This window comes from Homo sapiens, chromosome 2, assembly GCF_000001405.40.
Source record: "Homo sapiens chromosome 2, GRCh38.p14 Primary Assembly".
In the NCBI taxonomy this organism is placed as follows: Eukaryota; Metazoa; Chordata; class Mammalia; order Primates; family Hominidae; genus Homo; species Homo sapiens.
In genome coordinates, this window is record NC_000002.12 from 74,274,857 (window position 1) to 74,293,284 (window position 18,428).

At 48.5% G+C, this 18,428-nt stretch overlaps 1 protein-coding gene across 3 annotated transcripts in view, besides 4 other annotated features; it reads right to left on the reverse strand.

Annotated features, from left to right (window-relative positions):
• Window positions 1-18,428, reverse strand: part of SLC4A5 (solute carrier family 4 member 5) — a 127,175-nt gene that overhangs the window by 58,615 nt on the left and 50,132 nt on the right. For 2 of the 3 annotated variants that reach the window (NM_133478.3, NM_021196.3), the window contains one exon: window positions 10,917-11,046. In NM_133478.3, coding sequence (NP_597812.1) covers window positions 10,917-11,046 — 130 coding nt within the window. Of the gene's footprint in view, window positions 1-10,916; window positions 11,047-15,387; window positions 15,493-18,428 lie in introns of those variants that run through there. The other variant, NM_001386136.1, reaches the window with a different exon arrangement.
• Window positions 11,919-12,053: a silencer, noted in NCBI's record as "fragment chr2:74513902-74514036 (GRCh37/hg19 assembly coordinates)". NCBI's record gives its function as "represses an EF-1alpha promoter that drives an FKBP-Casp9 reporter gene in an ReSE screen in phorbol 12-myristate 13-acetate-treated (for megakaryocytic differentiation) K562 erythroleukemia cells {active_cell/tissue: K562(+PMA)}" and the evidence as "EXISTENCE:reporter gene assay evidence [ECO:0000049][PMID:32094911]".
• Window positions 14,921-15,421: an enhancer, noted in NCBI's record as "H3K4me1 hESC enhancer chr2:74516904-74517404 (GRCh37/hg19 assembly coordinates)". NCBI's record gives its function as "activates a minimal SCP1, AML or CMV promoter by ChIP-STARR-seq in naive H9 embryonic stem cells {active_cell/tissue: H9 hESC(naive)}" and the evidence as "EXISTENCE:reporter gene assay evidence [ECO:0000049][PMID:30033119]".
• Window positions 15,422-15,922: an enhancer, noted in NCBI's record as "H3K4me1 hESC enhancer chr2:74517405-74517905 (GRCh37/hg19 assembly coordinates)". NCBI's record gives its function as "activates a minimal SCP1, AML or CMV promoter by ChIP-STARR-seq in naive H9 embryonic stem cells {active_cell/tissue: H9 hESC(naive)}" and the evidence as "EXISTENCE:reporter gene assay evidence [ECO:0000049][PMID:30033119]".
• Window positions 15,667-15,726: an enhancer, noted in NCBI's record as "active region_16052". NCBI's record gives its function as "activates an Ori minimal core promoter by ATAC-STARR-seq in GM12878 lymphoblastoid cells {active_cell/tissue: GM12878}" and the evidence as "EXISTENCE:reporter gene assay evidence [ECO:0000049][PMID:35858748]".

Sequence of the window (18,428 nt, forward strand, 5' to 3'; positions counted from 1 at the left end):
AGTTGCTGAATATAGAATCAGAATGAGTTAATCATTAGTTAAGTGATTCCAGTGTTTAATAGACTTAGGATGATCTTTCATCTCTACTCATGAGATATGTCTAGGACTAGGATCAGATTGATAGGGCCTTCTGTCTTAGATTGTTCTGCAATGAACCCCACTTCCTCCCATGGCTGACTGATTCCCTTTGAATGAAAGTCTTTCCTTTTGGTGGCCTAGGAACCTCCGCTGAGGGCCTTTGGTGATGCAGTACAGTTTGGGCATTACAGGAGAAACACTCCTTCCCAGACAGTGATGAACTGCAGTGGCACAGCTGGTGGTGATGGGGCAGAGGTGTGGCATTCGAGGGAGCTGTGGTGAATGGAATGGGGGTGGCCTCTGCTCCCAAGCTCATGCATTTGGTGAAGGGTCCATCCTCCTGCACACCATGTCCTCATTCAGGGTTGAAGGAGAGCCCACAGCTAAGTGAATGTCATCAGACAAAGTTACTGAAAAATTCTGAATGGGCTCCTTCAAGGAGAGGCTTCTGGAACCAAAACCTCTCTGAGGGCCACTTGTCTGTGTATCCAGGAAGTCCCTGTAATTGCCCCATGGGACTGTCATCTACGCAGTGGTCTGCCTCCCTCAGAGTCTGCTGGTACCTCCCTTCACTGCCTCTCAGGAGAGGCCCTCTCCTCACCTAGGCACTCTCTTCCACCTCTGCTATTCTGGGCCAAGTTCAAAAGTCACCTCTCCTTCCCAGTTGGGAAGACAATGCCTTCCCAAGGGCCAAGGTTGAGGAGACCTCTCTTTCCTCTAACTCGCATCACACTTTTTATCATTTATCACATAACACTTCCTAATCACGACAACAGCTAAAGCTTACTGAGGGCTTTCTATGTGCCAGGCACTATGCTAAGCACTTAACAGGTATTATCTCATTTAATCCTTAAATCTGTCTCATGAGGTAGGTCTGTGACTATTTCATTGTACAGGTGAGGAGACTGAGACCCTTAGAGGATGAGGAGCCTGCCCAAGGTCATGCAGCTCATAAGAGACAGGGTTTGAAGGCATGTCTTTAGATTCTAGAGCCTGTTCTCACCACTTTGCACATACCACCCTGGGTTTTAGTTAGCTGTGTGTATGAGCACATGCCTGCTTTATACCAGATTGGGGTTGAAATATCATGTCTCATGGGCTCCAAGCACCCCACAGCCTGTTTTTGTATGGCCAGCTAGCTAAGCATGGTTTTTATATATTTAAAGCATTGTAAAGAAGGAGAAAGAGTAGGCAGAAGAGAGAAAGGAGAGGAGAAGGAGAGAAAAAGAGAAGAGGAGCGGGGAGAGGAGGGGAAATAAAAGGACAGGGGAAGAGATCATCTGTGCACAAAAAGCCTAAAATATTTTCTGTCTGGCCATTAACTGAACATGTTTGCTGATACCTGTACTAGATCATAAGCTCTTTAAGAACAGATTCATATTTTACTCATTTTAATTCTCCCACAGGACCTAACACAACATCCCCTCAACTATTTTTGGAATGAAAGAAGAAAGGTGTGGATAAAACAACCTCTCCAAAGCTCTCCTAGACTCAGAAGTTAGAGCTTCCACCTTTCCGCTGCTCTAGGGATTGATGTAGTGCTGCAGTTACATCAGCAGATCTCCATGGACAGAGATGGGGTGTGGTCTCTCTCTCCTTCAAGAGGAAGATGAGTTTGAGTTTGTAAAATTGCACCACCTATACTCTCATAGGCAACTTGAAGAATTCTGAAAGTTCTGGTTGGTATTAGAGGCAGAACTGTGGCCAAAGGATTGCTTACGTTAAGTGTATATCTTCATTACTACAGGTATGAAAGACATATTTGGGGTGTCTGCTCTCCCTGTCTTCCATGGGGATGTGCTCTCTAGGATATAGCGAGTCCTCCCCATACCTCCTACCTCTGATCTGGGTCCCAGTGATAGGGCAATCAAAGTTGGACAGATCAGATTCTCCATGAAGAATTTGGAATCGCTGTGGGATGGTCCCTTGAGTAGGGTGGATGTGAACATGGAAGCTGAGGATTGGCCAAAGGCAGGGACAAGCAGAAGAAGCTGGTTGCAGAAGAGTAAAGAAGATGCCCTGAGAGAAGCAGAGACCAGAAGCAGAGAGAAAGAGGACAGGCCAGCTTCCCAGACCCAGCCCTTGAGAGATCATGCCCCTGGGGACTATGAAGTCATCCCAGTGTCCCAGTGATGCTCCCTCCATTTGTATGAGTTAGCCTGAGTGGGCTTCTGTTACTTGTAGCCCCAAACCTCCTGACGATGACAGTGGCATTTCTCTCCCCTTGGGCATCGCAAACAGTCCCCAACAGCTCACTCAAGATTAGGCTGTGGGAGCCAGAGATGGAGATGCTGGGTGGGGGGCTCTTGACTCTCGTGTAAAGTACTGCTGCCGGCCAGGAGCAGTGGCTCACGCCTGTAATCCCAGCACTTTGGGAGGCTGAGGCGGGTGGATCACCTGAGGCCAGGAGTTTGAGAACAGCCTGGCAACATGGTGAGACTCTATCTCTACTAAAAACGCAAAAACTAGTCAGGCATGGTGGTGGGCGCCTGTAATCCCAGCTACTCGGGAGGCTGAGGCAGGAGAATCGCTTGAACCCAGGAGGCGTAGGTTGCAGTGAGCTGATATTGTGCCACTGCACTCCAGCATGGGTGACAGGGCGAGACTCCGTCTCAGAGACTGAAAAATAAAAAAAAAAATAAAGTACTGTTGCCAAAGGGCTTTTAGGCAGGACTCTTCCTTTGGCATCTCTGGAGTCTGATGGCTGTGATCCTAACAAGACAGGAGATATAACCACCAAAATCAATGTGTAGATCTTGTTTTGATTCTAAGTTGTATAAACCAACAGAAATATGATATTTTTGAGACAGTAAGAGAAACTGAATCTAGACTAGATAACCAATTATAGTAAGGAATTTTTCTCAATTTTATTAGGAAATATAACGGCATTGTGTTTACAATGAAGTCTAATTCACAAAGATGTGTACTGAAATGTTTACAACATTCAGGATTGCCTTTAAAATACCCCAGCAAAAGCAAACAACAAAAAAAAAATCCCCAAAAGCAAACAAAAAAAGTGGTGGAGATAGATAAATATGAAACTTTGATGAAGCTGGGTGATGGGGACCATTCTCTCTACTTTTTGTGTTTGAAATTTTTCATAATAAAAAGTTTAAATATATATTTGGATATATAAAAATATACATGAATAGGTAAATCAAGTAGGGGTTTTGACATGAAGGTGGTCTGATGGTGGGGTTATTCCCCTTCTGACAGCTGCAACTGAGTGAGCTATCCAGGGATGACTTTGGTTGGGGGAGGTGTTTGCTCCTGCAGACCAGCTCCAAGGGTTCTGAGGAGCTGCCAGCCAGTTGTGCCCTATCTGGGAAGAGCTTCCTGAGTGCTCCAGTCCCTCCCATCTCTCCTCACTTAATTAGCCTTCCAATCTCACTCACTGGCCAACTAATCTGATTGTACTATCCTGGGTCAACCGCGTGATGGCCTTGTGTCACTGCCTGGCTGTCCCCATGGGTGTGGACTTGTGCTTCCCCTGTCTGATTGCAGGACTTTGAAGGTCTCTTTTGCAGCTCCACCCTGGAATAACTGTAAGTTATCCTAAGTCCCTGAGGGATGAAAGCCCCTAGCATAGCCCTCATTCTGTGTTACACTGCCAGCTGTGAGAGCACTGGATGGAACCCAGGGCCTCTGAGACTTCAGGGAACCTTTTACCTGGGGCTTGATCCAGGTTCTGATTCATATAAAAATCCCTTTTTCCTACTTCACCAACATAAGCCTCAAGTGTCAGTGTTGGACTAGCATAGAGAGAGGGAAGGACCAAGTTAGATACTGGACATAAAAGCAGCTGGATAATGACAAAGAGTATAATTATTCAGAACACTAGATCAGCAGAAGGTGGAAGTCAAACAACCTTAAAAATCTTCATCTGACCATAAATCTCCATGTGTGACTCCACTGCAATAAAACAAGAGAGCGATGGCTGCTAGCCTGCAGCTGCTTACCTGGCTCATGTATACCAGCCATCTGCAGCTCCTACAGTCGCTTTTCCACCCCACCTGTCTCCTCAAACCACAGACCGGCCTGGAATTCCCTCAACTCCCTGCTAGGAGCCCCTCCACCTGTGCCCAGGGCCGCCTTGCTCCATCCAGCAGCCTCCCTCAGCTTCTTTTCCCTTTAAATGACTCTCTTTTCCCTGGACACTTCTTGTAAGCCTACGATGTGCTCAGACTTCGCTGACCCTCAAAAACAAAAGGATCTCCCTTGGCCCATGTTCTCCTTAAGAGGCTTCCTTCACTCCTGCCCTTCATGGACAAGCATCTTGGAAGAACTGTCAGGTGAACCCAGCTTTTTACTTTTAACTCTTCTCAACTTACTGCCCTCTGGCTTCTGCCCTACCCCTCCTCAGACTGCGGGAGTAGGTCCATCCTGCGGATGCGCTTCAGTTCTTGCGGTACTTCTTATCCCCTCCCTTCATCTTGAATGTCTCTCAGCCCTTGATTTCCAGGACAAAGCCCTCCTTCCATTCCCCTCCTAACCTCCTGGTTGCCCCTTCTCAGTCTCTTTCGTGGGTTCCTCTTCCTCTGCCCATCCTGCAAATACTGAAGTTCCTAGGGGCTCTGTTCTGGGCTCTCTTCTCACTTCACAGACCTCAGGGGCAACCTTATCCTTTTCTGTGGGCTTGATTTCCACCTAGATGCTGATGCCTCACAAATTTATGCTTCTCTACTGAACTCCAGACACGGTGGCCACATGATGACCCCTGGACATCTCCACTTGGAGTTTCCTCAAATAGAACCTGTCCAAAATGGAACTCATTATCAACTGCCCCCAAAACAAAATTTAAAAATATCCAATGTAATAAAACTTTACTACTACATTTGTGTTTTCTAAGCTGCTACCATGAGGTACTCACTAGCTCAGGTTGGAATTCTGGGTGTCTCCCTGACTATCTGTCCCCACGTGCCATCTGTTATCAAGTCTTGTCAATTGTACCTTTTAAATTTTGTCTCAATCTACCCCTTCTCTCTATCCCTACTGCCAGCATCTCTCCCTTGGACCAGCCTCTTAACTAGCCAAGTCTTGCCCCCTTTTATCCATTCTCCACACTAAAGTGAGATGAACTCTCTTAAGGATATGCACGATTCTGTCCTTTTCCCACCTAGAACCCTTCTGTGGTCCTCTGAAGCTCTCAGCACCAAGTTCCAACACTGCAACATGGCTGGCATAGAATCTGCATCATCAGCCCTGCCATTCCCTGCCTCCTATTCTACAGTCCAGCCACAGGAAACCTGTGCCTTTTCCTCTATGTGTCTGTTTGCCCTATTCCAGAGGCCTCTTCCCCCTTCCCTACCCTCTCCTGGCTAACTCTGACCCATCCTTCAGGTCTCAATGTGAACATCTCTTCCTCCTAGAAGCCTTCCTTGACCCCTCCTGCCTGGATTAGATGCCCCTATGCTCTGCTTTCACAGTGCCCCCATTACCAAATGCCCCCTTATTTGCCTCAGTGTCCAATTAGACTGAGAGCCCAAGAGAGCAGGGGCAGCATCTGCCATGTTCCATTTTTATATCTCTAGCAGGCTCAGGGCTTGCAGATAATAAATATTAGTTGATGAATGAACCAAGTTTGTTGATTTCTGCACTGGGAGCTCAGCATCCTACTCTCCTTCAAACTGAGTGGGCAGCTCTGGCTCCACTGGAAGGTTGATTCCAGATGGGTGGTGAGACCAGAGGGCTGGGGATGCCTACTGCCCCATACTAAGATGGGAAATGATGTTAAGAGGGCATTATACAGGATTTTTTTTTTTTTTTTGAGACAGAGTTTCACTCTTGTTGCCCAGGCTGGAGTGCAATGGCACGATCTCGGCTCCCTGCAACCTCCGCCTCCCAGGTTCAAGCAATTCTCCTGCCTCAGCCTCCTGAGTAGCTGGTATTACAGGCACCCACCACCATGCCTGGTTAATTTTTTTGTATTTTTAGTAGAGATGGGGTTTCACTATATTGGCCAGGCTGGTCTTGAACTCCTGACCTCAGGTGATCCACCTGCTTCAGCCTCCCAAAGTGCTGGGATTACAGGCATGAGCCACTGTGCCTGGACTATACAGGATCTTAATGAGGGTGATTTCAGGGTTGAAACAGATAGTTCAGCTTTCTCCATCCTGTATGGAGTGAGAGCATCCCTGCCTATGTGCATAGAACCATTCAGGGCTTTTGAAAACATACTGATCTGGTTTGACCCAACAACTGACCCACTTCTCCTGCCCTTCCCGGTCACTGCAGGAACATTCTCAGAGCATGTGTCTCATAAGAATCTTCTGGCAGGTTCGTGTTTATGGTCTGCTCTGAGTTGAGACCAGAAGCAGCTTGGATTTGGAATTTGCTTTCACAGCTCTTGGGAGGCGCTAAGCTCTGGTTATTTCTGAGTAACCCCAAAGGGCCCTCCACACTTGGGTGGGTTCCAACCCAGGTCATTCTCCTTCCCAGCCCCTCCACTTGCAGTCAGGCAGAGGTGGGCATGAGAGAGGATAGAATTCTGGGTAAATAGTTTGCTCACAGTCAGGTGGTCGCCCCCACCCAATCTGATCCAGCCCTCCCTTCAGGCAAGGTCATTATCAGCAAACAGCCAGCTGCATTTCCCTCATGGGAATGCTAGAGACAGAGTTAATAAAAATCTATCTTATTAACAGCCTGACCTACCAGCATTGATCACATTAGAAATGACGCTGCACACACAGTCCCCATTATGTGCATGGTGCTAGGCTCAGCAGAGCTCAAAAAGCCATTTAAATCCCTCCAGGAGTGACTCCTCCAAGGGCCTGAAACATCCCCCAAACTAATAACTCCCGACAAAGCACTGCCAGGGAAAATTCCTTGCGGATTTGAGATTTTCACTCTGTTAATCTCCTAACTCAATAAAGCAAACACTCCCTGCAGCAAATTAAATACTTTTATTAAAGCGTCCCCTCCCCGATTCTCTTTGACATGGGCATTGTGGACCATAACCGTCTTGGAGCCTGAGTGTCTGTGTGAGGGGCTGTCCCCTACTCCCTATCATTTTCTCCTGTTACTCTAAGAAGGCCCAGAACCCATTATGATTTACTGATTCTTAGATTCTCAAAACATCTGAGATCTCTAGCTTCCCTGAGTGGCTCCACTGGCCTGTCAACTGAAGAAACTGCTATTTTTTTGTGGGGGTGACAAGCCTCAAACAGCTCTGACCCAAGCACCTCTAACCTTGTAGTTTGCCTGGAGGAGGGCCCAGCAAAACTGTTCAGGCCCATGGTGGGCTTCTTGGCTGATGGTCAAACCCTTCTTCTGACTTCACTAGGGGCTTGCTGGTCATACCTTGGAGAGTTATCTGGAAACCAGATGGGGTTAGCTGTAGAGAGTAGAAAAGGGTGGAGCAGAAGTCGAGAAAGCTACTCTCTTCCCACATTTTCCTGTCCGCAAGCTGGCCTTCAAGCTACTCCTCTTTGGGATCTGCCTAGAATTGGGTTCGACCACTTTAACTTCTAGTCATTGCTTTCTTCTCACTGCTGGTTGGAGCCAGGTTATCCTGAGGTCCTGATGGCCTTTCTTCCAGGACCTCCTCAGATGCCATCTTCAGAAAGCCTGCTTTGCAGGGAAACCTACCACTTTGCAGATGGTAACTGCCAGACCCCTTTATGTTTTAGGAGAAGCCCCCTTCTAGAAACATCCTCATCTACAGTTTCTTGGTTCCTTCACTGGGTCTGGAGTGCAGAGGGCTTTGTGAATCCACACTCTGAGAGAATAGAGACAGTGTGGTTTGCCTTTGGTGATAGTCAGGTCTCTGGGGGCCATAAGGCCTTCTTGGCAAGGGCTCCACGGGTGTGTGTGATAGGCCCTCGTGGAGGGTCTGGTCCTGGCAACCATGGCTAGGGCTTCTGGATGCAGACCCTGTCCAGGGTGTGGAGAAGGCACCTTCCCCTTCCTGGGCCTCTGAGAAGGCCCTGCCCAGATTTCCTCCTCTCTATTTGCTCACTCTGGGCAGGAGAGGCCCTCGTTCAGGGCGGGCAGTGGCTTCAGGCCCTGGCCCCTCAGAGGTGTTAAGACATAATAACCCAGGGTGGGTCCTGGTCATTTGAAATGTCCCCCTTCCCTGTCAATCTTGGATAGGCATCCTGGGCTCTGCAGCTCTCCCCATGTATCTCTGACCCCAACAGAATTGCTTCCAGACCTATGTTCTTCCCTGGAAGTCAAAACAGTCACTGGAAGTTAGAGACAGAAAGAGAAAGGGCTGAGAAAATGAGGAAAGGAAGACAAAGTCCATTATCCCTCAAGTGGGAAGTCAGACAGGCCTGGACTGGAATCCATATTCAGCCACCTACATGCTCTGACCCCTGGTGAGCTACTTGCTCCCCTTCACCTCAGTTTCCTATCTATAAAATAGGGATAATGAAAATTCCACCCACTCAGGGTCACTGTGCAACTTGCAGGAGACAAGCCGTGAATCGATCAGCACCGTAAGTGTTCAAAGAACGGCATCATAGGAAGAGATTCAATGGCTTCCACACAGGGACCGGGCCCAGATGTGGAGCTGGGGATTTGTTCCTCTCTGAGGCCCGCAGGGACTTATTTACTAGTACACCCAGTGGCTTTTCTTCCAGATACATGGTACGTGGAGTGGGGAAAACCTGGGGGTGTCCAAACCTGTGCCTTCTGGCTCTGCACAGCAACTACCCAGGCTAGTGAGGGAGATGAGCGAGGGAAGAGCCCAGGCCATGGTTGGGGGCAGCTGTCAGGCTCTGGGTGTCACAGTGGCCCCCATGCAGAGACAGACCTGGGCACGGTTGAGTCTATGCACTCTCAACTTGGGCATAATTGCCCCCAAGGGGGCAAAAACTGTTTCTTCGAGGAGTGAAAATATTTTAGATATTACAATGGTTTGTGGTACTCTAGAGCTACACTCGACCTGACAAATCTTATTCCTTTTTTTTTTTTTTTTTGAGACAGAGTCTCACTCTGTTGTCCAGGTTGGAGTGTAATGGCACAATCATGGCTCACTGCAGCCTCAACTTCCCCTGGCTCAGGTGATCTCCCACCTCATCTTTTCAAGTAGCTGAGACTACAGGTGTGTGCCACCACGCCTAGCTAATTTTCTATTTTTATTTTTATTTTTGTAGAGACGAGGTCTTCCTATGTTGTCCAGGCTGGTCTTGAACTCCTGGGCTCAAGCAATCTGCCTGTCTTGGCCTCTCAAAATGTTGGCATTACAGGCATGAGCCACTGTGCCTAGCCCTTATTCCTTATTTCTTTTTTTTTTTTTTTTTTTTTTTTTGAGACGGAGTCTCGCTCTGTCGCCCAGGTCGGACTGCGGACTGCAGTGGCGCAATCTCGGCTCACTGCAAGCTCCGCTTCCCGGGTTCACGCCATTCTCCTGCCTCAGCCTCCCGAGTAGCTGGGACTACAGGCGCCCGCCACCGCGCCCGGCTAATTTTTTTTTTGTATTTTTAGTAGAGACGGGGTTTCACCTTGTTAGCCAGGATGGTCTCGATCTCCTGACCTCATGATCCACCCGCCTCGGCCTCCCAAAGTGCTGGGATTACAGGCGTGAGCCACCGCGCCCGGCCTATTCCTTATTTCTAATGAAAGAAATTAAATATTAATTTAATAAAGTTGATTTAAATCAAATTAAATTCTTCTCCTGGGGGCAGAGTGGCATCATGTAAAGAAGGTGGAGAAATATCGGCAGTCTGTCTTCCTGTCCGAAGGTCCCTCCCGCTGCCTCTTACCATAGCCTTCCTTCCCCTTGGGCTCTTGGGAGCATTGGGCACTGCTGAACAGTCCAGTTAAGTCCCAAGGCCCCTTTGTCACAGGCACTGGGGATATGAGCAGTGCCAACCATTCTTACCCTGCCCCTCCCTTGGCTCCTGCGACTTCTCCGTGCGGCTCCCCTCCAGTTTCTGCTCTCCGTATATATGGAGTGCTCTCTGCTCCACACGCTTTTCTCCATGGCTCCAACTCTGCAGCCCCAAACTCTGCCAGATAGCCCTCTCCATCTGGATTTTTCCCACCATTCAGACTTGATGTGCCTGGCACACCTTCTCCTTCCTCCAAGAAGCCCTCGCTGTCTACCCCAGCCTGCTTGTTACTTTCCCTTTTACAGCATTTACCTTGAACCATTTTATATTAAAGAACATCCTGGGTAAAAAAGTGAGACCTTATCACTACAAAAAATAAAAATAATTAGCTGGATGCAGTGGCATGTGACTGAAGTACCAGCTACTTGGGAGGCTGAAGCGGGAGGATCACTTGAGCCCAGGAGTTTGAGCCTGCGTGCAGTAAGCTATGATTACCCTACTGCACTGAAGCCTGGGCGACATAATGAGACCCTGTCTCTGGAAAAACAACAACAACGAGAAGAATGCAGTTGACCCCTGAACAACATGGATTTTGAACTGCATGGGCCCACTTACACAGGTTTTCTTCAACCAAATGGGGTCAAAAATACAGTATTCATGGGATGCAAAACCTGCATATATGGGCCATTGTTTCATATAGGTAGTTCCACAGGGCCAACTGGGAGACTTGAATATATGCGGATTTTGCCATCAGCAGGCGGTCCTGGAACCAGTGCCCTATGGATATGGAGGGACAATGGTATATGCCCTTGTATTACTCTCAGAGTTTCATGGATGACTGTTCTATCTTCCCACTTGAACTTTAATTTATTTGAGGATGAAGAGGAATTCATAAGGTTCTGTTTGCTCCTTAGTTCTGGACACCAAGGAAGGCAGCTGGGAGGGTCTTTGTGGACCAGGAAGCTCTCAAGGTACAAGGTGCCACTTCCCACCAGGAGGGTCAGGCAAGCCCAGGCTGTGTGAGACTGAAGTGCCCACCTCCCTCGTGGGGCCCCGCCTCACCTGGCTGACTCCTTCCACTCCATCTGGTCTCCGTCATGCTGCAGAGTATCCATCTCTGTAAAGAGGGTGGGGTTGGGAGCCTCATCTTCCTCCCCCAGGATGTCCTGGAGCTGCTCAGCAGCTGGGGACCCTGCAAAAGAGGGGCAGCAGGTCTGCTGAGTGTCCCATGGAAGGCAGGAGGACCACAAGGCCAACAGAAATGGAGTAGGAGGCAAGCACAAGGGAAAAGTATTTTCTAATTCTGTAAAACTAAGTCCAGCTCCTGGGTGATGCTGGCCTCCTGTAACCATGAATCAGAGGTGGGCGAGATACTCTTTAAGATAAAAGAGATGAAAAGATTTAGTCTGCATTCAGATCCAGGGTCTTGCAGCTGGCAGTGAAGAATGATGGGAAATGGTCGAAGCCAGGGCAGTAGCAAGAACCAGAACTGAAGAGAGAAGTGAGAAGCACTCTGACCCAACTTCAGCTTACCACCCGAGGGGGTTCTTCTTCCCACCGGGCCCCAAGCAAGCCATCCTCCAACACTGGTCTTGAAAAGGCAGTCAGCCATGCAAAAGGACAGCTTGCACACCCTTGTACCATGTGGGCCCACTTTCTTCCTGGGCAAGATGGCAGTCCATTTCCTGAGGCCCCAGCCTGCTTTCCAGCTGCCCATTGGAAGTCACTTCCTGGGTGTCTCCCAGGCACCTCAAAACTCGACATTCCTCTCCCAAACACACTTCACCTGTGTTCTTTCTCTCTTTTTCTTTCTTTTCCTTCCTTCCTTACTTTTCTTCATCTCTCTCTCTCTCCAGTGAATACCTACTATGTGCCAAATAAAGCTATGAAGAAGACCTATGTGTCCTTGCTCTCTTGAGCATGTCCTCTAGTGATAGAGACAGAGAATAAACAAGTCAACAAATCCATAAATGACCATTTCAATCATAAGTTGTCTAAAATAAACAAAATGACCAGGGGAGCTACAGTAGATAGCATGGTCACAAAAGGACTCTCTGAGGAGGGGACACTGGAGCTGTGACTTGAAAAATGAGAACGAGCCACTCTGCAGATCTGGAGGAAGAGTGCTCTGCATGTTCCAGACACCCTGTGGTGGAAACGTGCTGGTGAGTGTGGTTCAGCACGTGAGCAAGGGACAGAGAGATGGCATGATGTCAAAGTGGTGACCAATGCCATGACTAAAGGCATCCCTGCCCACCCCACTGCACAGGCTAGACACCCTGGAGTCATCATTACCTCACCTCCCTTCCCCTCATCTTCACACTCATATTGAAATTTTCAGGAACCCCACTGCCCTGCCCCGACGCAATCTCTCGTTCACTGTCTCCTGGGCCTCATCAGGTCTTCCCTTCCTCCAGCCTGTTTCCTCAGTTCATCATTCCCTTCTGTCCTCACTTATTTCTTCATGGACCTCTACTCTTTTCTTCATCACATCCTCCATTCTTTCCCCTTGACTTCCCAATCAAACCAGCCAGGCAATGCCCAAACAAGAATTCACTGGCCCAGTCTCCTCTGCAGGTGTGTCTGAGGGCTTGGGCTGGGGGATGGCTGGGGTGGGGATGGCAGCACGGAGTGGTAGTGTGGTGGAATCAAATAGAATCCCAATCCAGCTAGACAAGGGTGTGAGTCTCGGGGCTGCCACTTATTCACAAGCGAACTCAGTTGAGTGAGCAGGACTGCTGGGAGGAATACAACAGGTAAGAGAATGAAATGCCTGACACAGGGCTTGGAAGGTAACAGCTGCTTAGCCCCTCACCACCAACACCCACATCCAGGCCCATGAGCCCCACTGTAAGGGTTTCCCCTCAGCAAGTCTCAAGTGCGGCATCCTTCCATGCATCCTTGTCAGCGCCCTCACTGTGTCCCTCAAGGCTGTCCCTAACCTTTGCTCCTCTCTTCAAGCTTCTTGATTCAACTCCTACCCCACTTCACCAAGAGAATAAAGGCCTCCAGGCATGAAATCCATCAACATCCTTTCTTCCATCCCCTCAACTCTTTCAGATCCTTATTTCATCAGCTAGTCTTTCTTCACCTGGATCTTCAACTTCCCTCTCTCCACCCTCTTTCTCTCAGCCTAGAAACAGCTCTTCCTACCCAAGACAGGTTCCCTGACCCTGCCTGTCTCCTTAGCTCTCCTGCTTGCCTTCTTCTTTCTTTTACCCATACTTCCTAAAGTAGTGGTCTGTGCTCATGGTCTCCATCTCCTCCTTGCCCAATCAGTTCCCGGCCTGCTGCCACTGGCTCAGCCCCCACCACGCTAAGGACATTGACAAAGGCAGAGGTTTCAAACTGACAGTTCAAAGGTGTGTTTAATTCAGGCCTCGCAGAGTATGAAATTTTTTGAAAGTATTGCTAAGATAAAGAATTGTAAGATTTCATATAGAAATCCAGATCTCTGACTTTTCTTGAAAAGTCAGATGTTCTGATCACTGTGCCCACGTTCCTGCTTGGCAACAATCCATGAGAGTTGATGATGGTGCCTTCTTAGGTAAACATATGCTTTTTAGTTTGCCACAGTCCCCACTACTTCTTACTGGTGTCCCGTTAATCTCACTTATTGCCATGCACCCAAATTCACAACCCCTGCCCTCAGATCCCTCTTGTTATTTTAATTGTCAAACCAATAAGCTAATAAAATCAATCAAACCAACAGCACTGAGAAGCTATGGTCTGGCTTATCTCTCTGGAACTTCAGAGGTGATCATCGCCGCTCTGAACTGAAATGTGACTTATGGCTCTTATAACGTGGCAGTTTCTTGATATTTTCCCTCTTTGAAGATTCTCTCTCAATATCTTTCCCTAGTTCCTCTTGCCTGGCTAACACTTAAATCTTGATCTTGCCCAGGATTCTGCTTCATCTTGTTCTCTCTTCTCTCTCCACACTCCTTCTGGGCTAGCTCACGTTATTTGTGGTGTCATTTTATAAATGAGGTCACCCTTGTGTCCAGGCAATACACCCATGTGTATTGAACATTCCAACTGACAATTGGACTGCTCCTTTTGGAAGCTCGGCAGCCTTCTCAAGTCAACCTCAACATATTCAAAACAGCTCTGCATCCCTTCTCCCATCAACCCAGCCCTGCTCTCCTCTGTTTTTATTAATAGCACCTCTAGCCACCTACCCATCTAGACAATGCTGGACTCATTCCTGAAGCTCCTTCTTTTTCACAATTCATGTCCAACTGGACACTAATGTCTTTCATTTGCTTCATAAACATTTTTTGGCTCTCTCCTTTTTTCCCCACCCATTGCCACCATCTTGGTTCTGGCTCTCATCATCTGCTCCTATCACTGCAATAGCCACCTACTGTTGCCATTGCCTCTGGTTGTCCCATTTAATCCCATTCCCTATGTAGCAGTAGAGTGTGCTTTTAAAACATTTCAAACATGTTCACACAATGGGCTCCTGGGAGTCATGGTTCTCTTTGAATAGCACCATAAAACACTATACATATGAGTTAGAAATCATTTTACTAGCAGAACACACTATTATCTACAGAACTCATGGACTCATGTATTTAAATGAATTTTAAATTTCTCAATTTTTCTATTACTTTTTTTTTTTGAGACAGAGTCTCACTCTTTTGCTTAGGCTGGAGTGCAGTGGCACAATCTTGGCTCACTGCAACCTCCACCACCTGGGTTCAAGTGATCCTCCCACTTCAGCCTCCAGAGCAGCTGGGAGTACTAGCTCATGTCACCATGCCTGGCTAATTTTTGTATTTTCTGTAGAGACGAGGTTTCACCATGTTGCCCAGGCTGGTCTCGAACTCCTGAGCTCAAGAAATCCACCTGCTTCAGCCTCCTAAAGTGCCAGGATTAAAGGTATGAGCCACTGGACCCAGCCTATTACTTTTAACTTACATCCTTTCCATTGTCTTATTGATTGCTGGCGCTTGCTAGCAGACACCAAATGTTTAAAGAAATTTTATAGACAAAAAACCAACAATTGAGAAAATAACCTTATTTTTTCTTAAAATTGAGAAAACTGTGACTGCTTGATTCTGAGGGGCCATACCAATTCTCCCTGGGATCAGAAATCAGTAACTACTCTTTTAAAATGTAGATTTGATGTACCTTGGAGGATGGCATGAAAAAGAAAATAAAATATAAAATAAAATAAAATGTAGATTTGATTATGTTATTCACCAGTTGAAAAACTTTCAATGTCTCTCTATTGCCTAAAGCCTAGGGGTCAGTGACATGGCTCAAACCACCCCTCATAATATAGCCCTAACCTGCCTTTCTAGGTTCTAGCATGTCCCTCACCCAGCCACCCCGACCCCAGCCACAGCAGACCACATCCCTGAAGAGGAGGGCATGCTACTCCTTGGGCCCCTGTGCCTGCCATTCCCTAAGTCTGGAATCCCCTTTCCCCTTCAAGGCCAGACAAGAAGGCAAATAAATGGACAGGTCCTGGAGAGAGGAGACAGGCAGAGAGCAGGATGCAAACCAGTTCTGCCTGGGGCATTACCTGCTCCCTGGAACAGCTGAGCGCTGGGGTCCCTGGCTGTCGATGCTGCCTCTGGCCCCAGCCTGCTTCCGCTGCTGCCTCCCTGGCTGCTACTTCCACAGGTCCTCTTCTTCACACAACAAACTCACTTTTGTTTCCAGTTAAGCACCAGGGGAGGTGTGGGGAGAGAAGAAGGGGGGTTTGAGGGGAGAAAAAGAGAGAGAGAAAAGGAATGTGTGAAGGACTGGGGAGGTGGAGAGAGAGGCTATATGTAGAGAGAATATAGGTGTGGTAAGTGTAAGTGTGAGAAAGATTATGCAAAAGTGTTTGAGAGAGAAAAGCTACACTGAGTTAATTAAAGATCTGAGAGAGAGAGAGACAGAGAGAGAGACAGAGAAGTGAGAGAGAGAGAGAGAGAGAGAGAGAGAAGTGAGCAAGAGAGAGAGAGAAGTGAGAGGGTGAGAGAGAAATCTCAGGTGCACTAGAGAGAGAAAGGCTCAGTGGCTGCAGCAGAACCTCAAGCAGGAAGCCGGGTCTCCACAGCAGCAGGGGTGGTGGCAGCTGAGGACCTGTGAGAGGACTGGCAAAACTGCCCCTTTACCCCCTTCCCCATGAGTGCTTCCTATGTGCCTGTGGTCTCTAGGAGAGCCCAGGATCCTCTCTGCAGGCCCCTTTATAAAGGCAGGGGTAGGATGTGCTGTGAGATTCCCCAGGGCCTCCTTAGGAGCCTTGGTGGCAGGTGAGCTGGCTGGAGAGGAACCTAGCAGGGCCCTTCCTCTCCACCACACAGCCCCAAAGGTGGAGTGGGGTTGCTGGAGGGGAGTGTTTGCTGTGGGGTCTCACACTGACCAAGCAGTGCTCGATAATGTGCTATGTAGCTGGTTTCTTTCCTCCCCAACTTTAAACCCAAACTCCTGATACACTTCCTGTTCCTCCACCTCTCAGGCAAAGTGCCAAGTGTCACCACTCGGCAGGTGTTTTCTGAGAGCCCACGGACAGTGGAAGCTCGTCACTTCAGAGTGTGAGGTAAACTCCACTGGGGAATTATTTTGCTCTTCTGAGAAACTCCTAATCTCCTGGGTTTGGTTTAACAAGTGCTTACTGAGTACTTAGAATGTGCCAAGGTTGATTGGAGGTCACTGAGTGGTGGCTGCTCCAGGGAGTTACAAACCCTGAATTCACTAAGTCTTAGAGCTGGGAGGGAGCTTAGTGATGGTCAAGTCCAAACCCTTCATTTCACGGATGAGAAAACCAAGACCCAGTTTACCCCATAGGCCCCCTAGGCCCCAACACAGGTTAGCAGAGCCTGGGGGAGAACAGACATCTGACATTCTCCCCCTACACTGCCCCATTGAGGCTGGCTCCACTGGTGACATTTTCATACCTGAGGCTCGAGGATCAAGTACGCCCATTTTATTATTTTATTTTTAGAGACAGGGTCTTGCTATGTTTTGCAAGGCTGGTTTTGAACTCCTGTGCTCAGACAATCCTTCCGCCTCAGCCTCCCATAGTGTTGGGATTACAGGTGTGAGCCATCACACGTGGCCACAAGTATGCCCGTTTTAAAGCTGAGAAAACAGAAGCAGAGGACACCAGGCCCTGCCTGAGGGTCCCAGGCTCTGCAGCTTCCACTGCACTGTGGCTGAGGTTGACCCAGCTCCTTCTGAGTGGCCACAGCAGGCCACACCAAGTCAGGCCCTGTGGGTGGCCTCAATACCCAAAAAAAGATGGCCAAGGATCCCAAAAAGACCCTCTTTATTCATGTGGTGTTTTAAGAGCCCAGACCTGGGCTCAACTCCAGACTCTGCTATTACTAGCAGTAGGATCCTGGCAAGACATCAAGCTCCCACTGAGCCTTAGTTTCCTCATCTATGAAGCGGTAATAATCACGCCCCCCTCACTGGACTGTGGCAGGGATTCAATGAGATAATACATGTAATGTGACTGGCTGGCACAGCACTCGTGTACACCAGTCACTCAATAGGTGATATTGCTATTATTGTTGATGCCAGCAGGTGAGATGCTTCCTCTGTTACTACCAGTTACCAGCCTGTTCCCTCTAAACATTCCAAGGGCCCAATCCTTCTCAGCTTCTAGACTCCATGCTCCTCCCATGCTACCTCTGGCCCTCCATCCCAGGCCCCTACGCTGTCTCTGCCCCTCCCTTCTGCCCACAGAAGGTTTAGCTCACCACATGCTGGGCCACTGGGTCAGGGTTTCTCTAATGCCCTGCGGATCCCACATGTGTGCAGCACGTCAGAAGTTAATCCACATAATGAGAAATGCCACAGGTAATAGCCCCTCTGTTCTATAGCTAACAGCAAGAGTCACAAAGTGCCAGCCCAACTATAGGAATGGATTCTAACAGCAGTTGCTGGGAGAAACATAACCTCCATGGGGACCGCTTCAGGAGGCACACTAAAGCCACACAAAGAATCATGCTTTTACTGGGTGGGGACTGACTTAGCACAAAATGATCTAGTGGCCTGCAAACTAGCAAGCAGTGTGGACTTCAACTCTTAGTAAAGATCTGGGAGCCATTATGGCCATCTGGAAGTCAACATCAGGACACGATCCTGGGGTCCTCAGCTCTGGGCAAGTCCTTTCAGACATTCTCTCTCTCATCGGCTCCCTGATGGGTGGCTACACGGTCAGCTTTGTGAGGTCAGGGCCTATCTTGTTCACATCGCACTGCTGGCCCCTGACATGGGTTCACACAGCATGTGTACTCAATGCATATTTGCTGGGTGAATGGATTTGACTGCCTGACACTCGGGAGTATATTTGCTGAGGCTGGCCTCAGCAAGAGAGGAGCCAAGAACAAGGAAATGGAGCTGAGGGTGAAGCAGAGGGGGCAGGGATGGGGGGATTCGGGTGACTCCAGGCCACTGACTATTGGGGACTGGGAGAGGGAACCCAAAGGAGCCAAAACCATTCTTGCCAACTGTGTGAAGTAGGTCTTGGAGGCCCTGAGTCCTAGTTTCATGGGCAATAACATTCTTTTTCTAGAAGGCTGTATACAAACTCCAAGTGTGCCCTCTGAGAGAGGAAGAGGAGAGAAT